The sequence below is a fragment of the Homo sapiens genome, chromosome 1 (genome assembly GCF_000001405.40).
Source record: "Homo sapiens chromosome 1, GRCh38.p14 Primary Assembly".
In the NCBI taxonomy this organism is placed as follows: domain Eukaryota; kingdom Metazoa; phylum Chordata; class Mammalia; order Primates; family Hominidae; genus Homo; species Homo sapiens.
Genome location: NC_000001.11, coordinates 159,981,053 through 159,992,682, shown reverse-complemented (window position 1 = coordinate 159,992,682; position 11,630 = coordinate 159,981,053). Strand labels below are relative to the sequence as shown.

Genomic DNA, 11,630 nt, shown 5'->3' with positions numbered 1-11,630 from the left:
GGGTTTCCCTCTGAGAAAAGGATTTGAGTTCAAGTTGTTTTTTGGTTGGTGCAGGAAAATCCTGGTGGGGAGCAGGGAGGAGACACAGGGGTAGAAATGTGGCCCATAGAGGAGGAATTATCCAGCCATCTGCCTCTGTAGGCACTGGGATGTGGTGGGAATATCTGGGGAGTAAAAGCATGCCTCAGAGGGGTTCCACTCCTGAGGTGGCAGAGGGGAGTTATTTATATACAACTCCTGACAGTCACCAGTTGAAGGTTACTGTGTGTGGCGGTGGGTGGTGTCAGGGTGTTAATTCCCTGGCACTTATAGCCTGTCTCAGGCACAGGCAGAAAGGCTGCTTACAGTCTCAGAAAAGGCTGGTAGGCAAAGGAATGCAGACACTGGCATTGGAATTCTTTTGGAAGACACTGAAGTGATGTGGCTCTGAGCATATGGGAGAAGCATGACAGCTTCTGCTATGTACACCTGCTGGGGCTGATTGATCAATTCTGTTCCTTCACAGGTTTCTCATGAGTTTCATCTCTTAACTTTATTACTTTATTCTGTTTCTAAAGCTTAATTTAACATCCCTCTTTTTGACATCTTGAGTTATATGCTTACTTCATATATTCTCATTCTTTCTTATTTGATAATTAAAGCAATTCAGGTTAGTTATGGGGAATCATTGAGAAACCACTTGTAAAAGTGCTTAGCACAGTGTCTGGCAGACAGTAATTGCTCAACAAATGTTCATTACCATTTTCCTCAAACCCTTTGAAGTCACTTCTGTTAAAAGATAAACTTTAGAGAAATTAACATTAGCAGAGCTTAACTGGGCAAATAATGACTTGTGAATCAGGCAGCTTCCCAAACTAGAATAGGATCAGAGTGACTATGGCGCTGCTGTGTGGTGGAGCAATATTTACGAACAGGAAAAGAAAAGTGACTTACAGGAAACAGAAGTGAGGCACAGAAACAGCTGGATTGGTTACAGCTCAGGCATTTAGCTTATTTGAACACAGTTTGAATGGTTGGCAGCCTGTGATTGGCCCAAACTTGATTGGCACAAAAGTAGGCTACAGTCTGTTTATACATCCAGGTAGGTTACAGTTCACGATGTACTGAGAAGCCTTTAGACCGAACTTAAAATAAGTAAGTCTGCAGCTTTAGGCTAAAGTTGATTTTACACTTCTGATTACAGATGTGGATGTCTTCTCTTGATGTTGATATGTGGTATTTTCATTATCATTATTGCCCAAGAGTTCTGTAAATTGCAGTTTTCGTTTCCTGTTTGATCCGTGGATTATTTTGAAGAGTGTTTTCAAACCAAGTAGTTGGACGATTTTTGTTTACACATTTTTTCAATTTCTGGTTTTACTGTATTGTGGTATGCAATGTAGTCATGAAATTTCTGGGCTTGAAATTTATTTAAGGTTTTTAGTGGTTTAATATGTAATCAATTTTAAAAAATTGTTCCATAGACCCTGAAAAAGATTTTTTTTGTTTTTTTTTTCAATATTTACAAAGTGGATCCCAGCAATGACTTTTTTCTGACATTCTACATCTTTTGTTTGTTTACTTGATCTGTTAAGAACTGATGAAATCTCCACAGCAATTGTGTTTTGGTCATTTTCCTCTTATTCAGAAACTAAAGATTTATGACAAACACATCTTCATTGCAGATCTTGATTTTTACTACTTATCCTTTATTTTAATAGTTTAGGACTTTAATTCTTTTTGTATACTATATCTTTTTCTATCTTTTTATTTTTTATTTTTATTTATTTATTTTTGTTTTAGATGTGCCTCTTGTGGACAGTATATGGTTAGATCAAATATGATGATCTTTGTCATTTCATAGAAAAATATAACTTATTTAGATATACTGTGACAACCAATATGTTTGACTTTCTGATGAACTTGTCTGGATTCATTGGAATATATAATAGGAAAAAAAATTTGTTCTTTGTCCTTGGCGCAAAGCTCCTGAAACCTTTGAAATTTCCTGAGCAATAGGAGCATCTTTTGTTATTCATTATGCACCCCTTTCAGCAATCTGTGTTTGTGCTAATGAGGTGACTCTTGGCAGGGTCCCCTAGATCACTTTAAGATGGGAGCTAGTTCTGATCAAGTTCTGATAAAGCTCAGAAGTTTCAGCTCCACCCCCTCCTCATATGGGGAAGGGAGAGGGGCTGGAGATTGAATTTAGTCACCAATGACCAATGATTCCATCAATCATCCCTATGTAATAAAAGCTCCATAAAAACCTTTAAACAATGAGGTTCTGAGTTGGTGAACACGTTCACATACTGGGAGGATGGTGTATCCCAACTCCATGGGGACAGAAGCCCTGTGCTCCGGACCCTCCCGGACCTCATCTTCTGGGCCTGTTCCTTTGGCTCTTCATTTGTATCCTTTATAATAAATCGGTAAATGTAAGTAAAGTGGCCCCTGAGTTCTATGAGTCATTCTAGCAAATTATTGAACCCTGGCAAGGGGTGGGGTGTGGGAAGCCTGACTTTGTAGCCAAGTCAGATGCAAATGTGGGTAGCCTGGAGATCTGATGCTTGTGACTGGCATCAGAAGTGAGGGCAATCCTATGGGACTGTGCCCTTAAGCCTGTGGAGTCTGCCCGCCACTGAGTCTCAGAGTTGAACTGAATTATAGGATACTCAGTTGTTGTAGGAGAATTGGATAATAGGTTGGTGTAGGAAAAAAACACACACTTGGCAAAGATGAAAATCTGTTTTTAGTGTGTGTGTTTGCTAATATTTTAAAAAATATATTTGCTAGTTAGACTATAGGGATTGGACCAGACCAGTTCAGAGATGATTCATGTTGCTTGGGAACAAGCCCTTTATAGCTGCTGCTGCTTTTTGTTTGCAGTAGCTTCTCATGCCCGGGCCCTTCTGCCTGTTTCTCATGAAGGCTGCTGTGCTGCAGAGCCTGTCCAGACCATCCCATGTGGCCTGCTCCTGTGTCCAGCGCTTGTCTCTCAGAGTCTCACTGTGTTGCCCAGGTTGGTCCTTCCTGGGATCAAGGGATCCTCCTGCCTCAGGCTCCCAAATTTCTGGGATTACAGGCACGAACCACTGTGCCTGGTGTATTCCTACAGTATTGTAAAATAACATAGTCCATAGAAATCATGCCCTGTACTGCACTGAAAGAACACTTAGAATTTTCTTTTGCCTAATTCCAAGTCTCAGGTCATTTTAGTGACACAATTTTGCTGTTTTTCGCTCATTATGAATTATTCTTTCTGAGATGGATGGAGATAGAAGATCTGGCTTGAGTCCTTTTGTTGCCATGTTTTACATAGAGGGCCCAAAGAAGCATTCATATTCTTTTGCAGCTACCTCCTGAAAGAGGATTTTCATTTCTCTTGTCAATGGACTATGGGCAGGTTCAATATGGTCTTGGCTAAACTAGATGTCTTAAAGTGTAAAAGAAGCTTCTCCAAAATTTATCACAAATGTCTTATTAATTTAAAAATGCAAACACAAAATCTCAAATAAGGAATTACATTATATGCTTGTTTAACTTAAGCAAACCCAACTATGTATTGAGCAAGGGAACACTGTACTATTATTATTATTATTATTATTATTTTTTGAGATGGAGTCTCTATTGCCCAGGCTGGAGTGCAGTGGCACAATGTTGGCTCACTGCAACCTCTGCCTCCCAGGTTCAAGTGACTTTCCTGCCTCAGCCTCCCAAGTAGCTGGGATTACAGGCATGCACCACCACATCTGGCTAATTTTTGTATTTTTAGTAGAGATGGGGTTTCACCACGTTGGCCAGGCTGGTCTCAAACTCCTGACCTCAAGTGGGAGGTCCACCTTGGCCTCCCAAAGTGCTGGGATTACAGGCATGTGCCAGTGTGCCCGGTGAGCAAGAGAACACTTTAAATAGTAAGAGAATCTCCACCTGCTATTCCATTCAATGAATATACACCACAGAATGAGAGTGAGAAGGAGAGGCAAATCGGCTTTGCCTAAATCTCAGTTATCTTGTGTGATATCTTAGTATGCTGAGTGTGATTCTAATGTTTAAAAACACTTGTAGTTTTGAACCACATGGTTCCTAAATGAAAGCCACCTTCTTTGATTGGTACTGTAAGTCCCAATCTGGAAGAAAAAACCTGGCTGTGTTGGGCTGTTGGTGTCAGCTCTTCTGGGATTTTCATGGGTACTTGGAACAGTGTTTAGTTTGCCTCATATGAAGTCTTTAGATGTTGTATTAGTTTCTATTGCTGCATAGCAGATCACCAACACATCAAGCAGCTCCCAACAATGCACACATTTATCAACTTGGCTTCTGTGGGTCAGGAGTCTAGGTGTGGTCTACCTGAGTCCTCTGCTCAGAGTCTCATGAGACTGCAGTTGAGGCTTCAGCTGGACTGAAACTTCAGCCAAAGTTTTCATCTGGAGGCTCTGCTGGGGGAAAATCTGCTTCCTACCTCACTCAAGTTGTTGGCCAAATTTATTTTATTGTGGTGGTATGGCTGAGAGCCTGGGGTTTTGCTTGCTGTCAGCTGGAGGCTTCCTCTGGTCTTGGGGGCCATTCTCAGTTCTTTTCCATGGAGGCTTCCTCAGAATGGCTGCTACTTCAGCAAGGAGAATCTCTTCAATCTCAGGGAGGGCCAGGGTTCCTCTTTCAAGGTCTTTCACCTGATTAAGTCAGGCTCGTTCCAGATCACCTCCCTTTTTGTTAACTCAAAGTCAACTGCTTTGGGACCTTAACTCCATCTGCAAAGTCCTTTCACCTTTGCCACATTCTATGGGTAGACCCACGTCAACACGTCTCACCTCCACTCAAAAGGAAGAGATTATACAGGCCATGGACACCAGAGACAGGAGTCATGAGAGTCACCCTAAGGGCTATCTGCCATGGACCTCAACCCCAGAAAGTACTCAGGGCCCAGTCAGAAAAACAGCAACCACACTAGGTATTTAACAGGAAATGTTTAATATAGGAAATTAAATAGTTATTGGTGGACTAAAAAAAAGCAAAACAAGACAATAGTGATATAACAACGAAAAAAGGGCAGGAAACAATCTCTCCCTCCCACCCCACTGGCTAGGGCAATAAAGGGTTAATGAAGTCAGGGTTATCAGGACCTCCATACTTGGAGAAAAGTCCTTAGCCACTGAGTTAAGTCCCCCTCTGACTGATTCTGTTTATCACGGAGGGGCCCTGCAGAGCTCAGATCTCTGTAGAGTGGGTGCTGCCTCACTCACACGGTCCTTCTGAGGAGGTGTCATGAGGCTTGTTTTGAGGGCGCTAAAAGAAGCTGGTGACTGGGACAACCTGCTGCTAGGATGAAGGACCATTCCTGGGCCTATTGCCAGGAGTAGCCAGCTGATAGGAAGGACAGTTCTTCCTTCTCTTGCCTTCCAGTCTCTCTCCAACATCCCTGTCAGCAGAACCTGACAGCGAGCAAGCTGGCAATGGAGAAATATGCTTACCAGAGTCCTGGATCCAGCATCACAAAACAAGTGCAAAAGGGTAGATTTAGATCCTAGAGACAATAGCTTAATAACCAGCATTTAGTAACCACCTTCCTTAGACAAGGCTGCTGAAACTTAGGTCCAGCGGAAAACCCTGGACTTCACTTTCTGGTCTAACACTGGTCATGCTTGGATTTTAGGGAATCAATGAATAAGACCTTTTTTCTTTCTGGCCTGGTTCTGAATCAAAGTTCTTGATAAAGAGAATTAGAGGGAACTTAACTCGGTGGTTAAAGACTTTTCTCCAAGTTCATAGGTCCTGATAACCGTGATCTCATCTCCTTATTATCAGTAGTCAAGAAGATGGTAATAAAACTATCAGCTTTATTACTAACAGAATCTGATGTCAGGCATGCACCCACATGTGCTTGCCTTGCTAACAGCCCCTGATGTAAACTTATTGCCAAAGTGCAGGCCTCCCCTGTGGGTTCTGGGTGGAAGCATCCAGGCCCCTGAGATCAGATAAGTATGCACCTCCCAGGTGGCCAGCAGATTCTAAGGAGAGACAAAGGCACATCTGAATGAAGCCCACCCTTGGGGAGGAGTGCCTAGAACTGAGAGAGTTTGGTGGGGGTAGGGGGTTTCCCTGGTGGAGGTTCTTCCATTAGGGAGTGTGAGGAGTGGGGAATGAGTTTTCTCAAATTGGTATACTTGAAAACATATTTGATTGCAACCTGGCTCTGGTTAGAAATGTTATAAGAACAGATTTTTAAAAAATTAGAGGTACTTTTAAAAAAGTGATAAAATACACATAACAGAATTTACCATTTACAATGTACATTTTTAAGTGTACATTTCAGTGGCATTGAGTACATTCACATAGTTGTGCAACCATCACCACTGTCCATCTCCAGAACTCTTTTTATCTTGCCCTTTAAACTCTGTACCCATCAAAAAATTGGTCCCCAGTGACCCCTTGCCCAGCTCCTGGCAACCTTAACCTACTTTCTGTCTTTGTGAAATTGACTAGTCAAGGTACGTCATATAAATGGAGTGATACAATATTTATCCTTTTGTGTCTGGCTTTTTTGCTTAGCATTAGGTCCTCAAGGTCCATCCGTGTTGAAGCATTTATCAGAATTTCCTTCCCTTTTAAGGCTGAATAATATTCAATTGTATGTATATACCACATCCTGTTTATCCATCTGTCGAAGGACACTGGGTTGTGTCTACCTTTTGGCTATTTTGAATAATGCTGCTATGAACATGGGTGTACAAATATCTGTCTGTGTCCCTGATTTCAATTCTCTCGGGTATATACTCAATAATGAAATTGCTGGATCTTATGGTAATTCTATTTTTAATTAGAAACACAGTTTTTAGTGGACATTGTGAGGAACATCAAGAGGTAGAGGCCGAGAACCTGTGAAATGCACATCACGCAGCCTAGAGGCCTCTTAGGTAGAAATTGCACACTTGTCCCTGAGGGCAGCAGCTGTTCTTCTGCCTCTGCTGCATCTTCACGCCTACAAAGTGGAGAATGGGCTGAACCCGCATCTCCTTTACTTTCAGGCACTGGGTGGAGAGCTCCACTCTCAAGAATAATGGCAGTGGCCAAAGTCCCTTTCAGTCCCCCTAGACCCGGGCTCGTGGCTGAGATACCTGAGTAAGATTCTGGAGCCCTTGAAGCTTGCCTAGCTTTGTTATTGTTGCCATCCTTTGTCATCAGTATCACTGCAGTGATTGGCAGTGGAGCCTTTCATAAGGAAGCAGACCATGTGTGTGGTCTTTAGGGACTATCAGGAGAAGGGAGTTGGGAGGTTTCTTCTGGTTTAGGGCCACTCTTGGACAGAAAGTGAATGGGCAGGGCCAGAGAAGGAAAGAAAGCAAGCTCAGTTCCTGATGGCTCCTGAGGCTCAACAGCTATAAATCCTGTGCACGGTCACCAGACAGAGTTAAATTTCCTGTTCCAAAGAGGCACCCAAATGATAGAAGTTCAAGCACCATGGCAAACTGTTGGATAAACATTTTGGAGCAGATGGTAGGGATTAAAGGAATAGCCACCTCATGGAGTGTACGTACAGGTGCCCACTGAGGCACTGTGTGGGGGTGTGGTGCTCTGAACTTATTGGACATTTAAAAGAGAAAGGAGCGATTACTTCCTTCTGTCCTGGTGCAGGGGCCTGTGTTGTCTCTGAGGCCAACTGAATTCCCTCTCTTGGTTTAGTTGTACCTGTCAGTCCAGAATTAACGGTGTGCTCGGGGATGTTCCTCAGTCAGCATTGTAGAAATTCAGAGCCCAAGGAGCAGATGAGTACCGGGGTGACTGTAAAGAAGTCAGTGTATGACATCACTTTCCCTAAATGTGTAGGGCTTGCTTCTAGACTGTTCTATTCAGTAACGGGTCAGAGACTCAAAAGAGCACTGTCTGAAAGAAATATAATGTGAGCAACATATAGAATTTTAAAGTTTCTAGTAGCTACACTAAAAAAAGGTGAAATTTAATTTTAATATATTTTATTTAATTGGATGTGTTAAAAATGTTATTTCAACAAATAATTAATATTAAGATTACTGAGCTATTTTACATTCTTTGTTTTGTACTCAGTATCTGAATTTTGGTGTGTTATTTTACACATACAGCATACCTCAATTCGGAAAATCCACACCTGTGTCGAATGGTCACATGTGGCTTGTGGCTACCATATTGGACAGTGCAGCTCTAAGACATCCAAGGGTATAATAGCAAGCATTTATTGAACGATTACTATTACATGTATTGAATCAAGCAACACTCCAAGGCAGCTGCTATTTACTGAAGAATACAAGTGTATTCTTTGGTTTGTGGCCCTTTCCTCTGTCTTTAGGAAGCCAATAGCATAGCGTCTTCTGTCTCCAACTCTGCTTTCCTCTCTGCTTCTGTCATCAGGGGGCTGCATCCTGCTTTTCTCTTAGAAGGACTCTTGTGATTACATCAAGCCTACTCTGATAATCCAGGATAATCTCCCAATCTCAAGAGCCTTAATTTAATCACATCTACAAAGTCTCTTTTGCCATATAATAAAACATGGACAGGTTCCAGGGATTAGAATGTGGACATCCTGGGGGGCCATTATTCAGCCTGCAACAGAGGGTGACTTTATTTTCACAAGCATGTAAGGAAAACTCTGAGCTGAGACTGCAGTTTCTCTACTTCTTCCTTACATCATCTGTGTAACTCGGCTCATGCTGCTCTAGAAGAGACCATCTCCCCTGCTCCATCATATCTGCAGCCCTGGCTGCTGCAGGGAAAGGCACTGCCTTTCTTCTCCAGGTGTCTTTTGTTCTTCTTCCGCCCTGGCCCCTTGCTGCCATGCAGGACTCTGCTGGGAGTGACGTGGGTCTCTTTCCCTGAGAGAGCTGAAGATCTGCAAGGAGACCTTCTCCCTGCCTTTTGCTTCGCATTTTGAAGGGAGGGAGGAGACTAGCCAGAACCACTGACCAGGGGAAGCACTCTTATCCTCTTAGAAAGGACCTTAGGAATCATCTATCCCCTCCACCCCATCCCTGCCTTGCCACGAGGATTAATTGCTCTCTAAGTGCCTTGGCCAATGTTGACTTTCAGCCTAAGCTTGACCTCTCAAGCAAGTTGTTTCCTTCCTAACAATAGTATTTCAAGTGAATTCATTAAAACTTCTTAGTTGCAAGTAATAGAAACTAACTTAAATTAACTCAAGCAAAAAACAAACAAAACAAAACAAAAACAAAAAACAAACCAAGGAGTGGTCAGAAATCCACTCCTCGGGGGAATTTGATCTCTTGCTTTTCTTGGCAACTTGAGGACCCTTTTCCTAGGAAAGGGGGACTTTCCCTGTCCCCCTCTGACTTCCAGCACATAATCAGTGATTGTGACTCCAGTCCAGGTCCACTCAATACCCACTTATCATATGTGCTGCATTACAACCAACAGATGAAGAGGCACAGATGGATGCCTCTTTCATCTGGTGAACTGATAGAAGTGCTGTGATGAACCTCCACAGTAGAAGAAAAGAAAAGGATGAAAGACACATGTTGCTAATTGGCCTTAAACCTCCTCTGATGGGAACAGGAGGCAGAAGCTGGTCATGAGGGTAAGTTGATAAGAGAGGAGCCTAACCAGGGTTCTAATGAATGGCCAAGATATTGGGATATAAGCTAGAAACTCTAATGTTGATATGTTTCTTTTTTTCTTTTTTTATTTTTTTGAGACGGAGTCTCACTCTGTCACCAGGCTGGAGTACAGTGGTGCAATCTCAGCTCACTGCAACCTCTGCCTCCCGGGTTCAAGCGATTCTCCTGCCTCAGCCTCCCAAGTAGTTGGGACTACAGGCACGTGCCACCACACCCAGCTAAGTTTTGTATTTTTAGTAGAAACGGGGTTTCACCATGTTGTCCAGGATGGTCTCCATCTCTTGACCTCGTGATCCTCCCACCTCAGCCTCCCAGAGTGCTGGGATTACAGGCGTGAGCCACCGCGCCCAGCCATGTCGTTATGTTTCCTACACACATGTGTGTGTATGCATATGTACCCATATAGACATACTTAACATTACACGATGTACTATGCTAGTGTTGGAGATACAGAAATGACTTTATGCCTACCCTAAAGGCTTCCCTAAAAGACAAAGAATTGTGGGACAGTTTGATAAATGTCATAAGAGATATTAGTAAGTGCTAAAAATAGCACAAAGAGAGGCATGATTTCCTCTGCTTGGGTGTGTCCAGGAAACCTCTATCGAGAAGGGAACATTTGCATGGATCTTAATAGGAATTTAAAGATCACTGGGAGAAGTGTGTGTGTATGAGTGAGTGAGTGTGCGGCAGGAAGGGGTGATGAGAATGGAGAAAGATGTTCCAAAAAGGAGGCGTTATATGTCCACAGGCCTTGATGTGAAGCGGCATTGACGTTTAGACTAGAGTGTAGATAGTTCCATGTGGCTGTCAAGATGGGGCCTTGGGTAGGGAATAAGAGAGTGGACAGTTGAGCACAGGCTGAGTCTCAAGAGACATAAGCTTCTAATTTATCTTGTAAGTAAACAGACATCTTGGAAAGAATGGAAGCAGAGCGTGACAAGATCAGATCTGGACTTTAGAAAGGAGGAGGACTCTAACAGTGTGGAGGATGAATTGAAGGAAGGACAACTAGGGGCAGCCAGATTTGTTGAGAAGCAGAGGCCAAGACAAGATTAGACCTGCAGAGGCATTGTGGGAAACACCACACCTGTGAAGGATGAAGAGCGGGCAGAAGGAGTGGTCAGGAGAGACTTCAGACTGCAGTGCAGGTCAGACACCTGGGAAAGGAGAGCAGGCTGGGAAGAGGATCAGGTAGGATGATCCTCAAACTGTGGTGCAGCTCCAGGATGTCCCCGCCAGGCTTAGTGTCCCAGAACAGAGCTCGCCTCTTAGCGAGGCCTCACATCAGGCACAGTGGCCTGTTTCTAGCCCTGTTTCTGGCACCCTCTGTGCTCAGTCATTGGCTGGGAGCAGCATGGGGCAGTGTGAACACCCAACACAACCAAAATATAGCAGCAGGAGGCTGGAGGCTTCTTGCACCAGGTTCTCTTGAAGGGAGACCTGAGCACACTCCCTGACAGCACAGAGATGCCTGCAGCAGCACAGTCTGCTCTAAGGCCAGTCACGGGAGAATGGAAAGCAGATGGAAAAGAGGAGCTTGCCTTGTTTGCCAGCACCCCCTGGTCTGGGAAGGCTGTTTCCCCTCTGGCTTGTGAGGTTGCTGCCCTTGCTCCTTTCTTGGTTGGGGCCAGAAGTTGTCCTCCGCTTTTCTTGAGGACATCACAGGCTTGGCAGATGCAGGAGTCAGCTCAGGCTGCTGTAACACATGGCACAGACCAGGTGGCTTAAACAACAGAAGTTAATTTCCTCATATATCTGGAGGCTGGAAGTCTAAAGTCAAAGGTCAGCAGGGTTGGTTTCTTCTGAGGCCTCCCTCCTTGGCTTGTAGATGGCTGTCTTCTCCTTGTGTCTCCGCACAGTCTTCCCTCTATGTGCATCTGTGTCCTGGTTTCCTTTTCTTATAAGGACACCAATCAGAATGGATTAGGGCCCACCCTAATGGCCTTATTTTAAATTGATTACTCTTTAAAATACCCTGTCTCCAAATACAATCACATTCCGAGATACGGGGGTCAGGGCTGCAGCATAGGAGTTTTGGGGGCCACA

General features: G+C 43.7%; 1 protein-coding gene across 1 annotated transcript in view; it reads left to right on the top strand.

Annotated features, from left to right (window-relative positions):
• Positions 1-8,698: 8,698 nt before the first annotated feature.
• Positions 8,699-11,630, top strand: part of SLAMF9 (SLAM family member 9) — a 32,493-nt gene continuing 29,561 nt past the window's right edge. Inside the window, exon 1 of the mRNA XM_017002756.2 lies at positions 8,699-9,541. Coding sequence (XP_016858245.1) covers positions 9,536-9,541 — 6 coding nt within the window. The 5' untranslated portion in view covers positions 8,699-9,535. The remainder of the gene's footprint in view (positions 9,542-11,630) is intronic.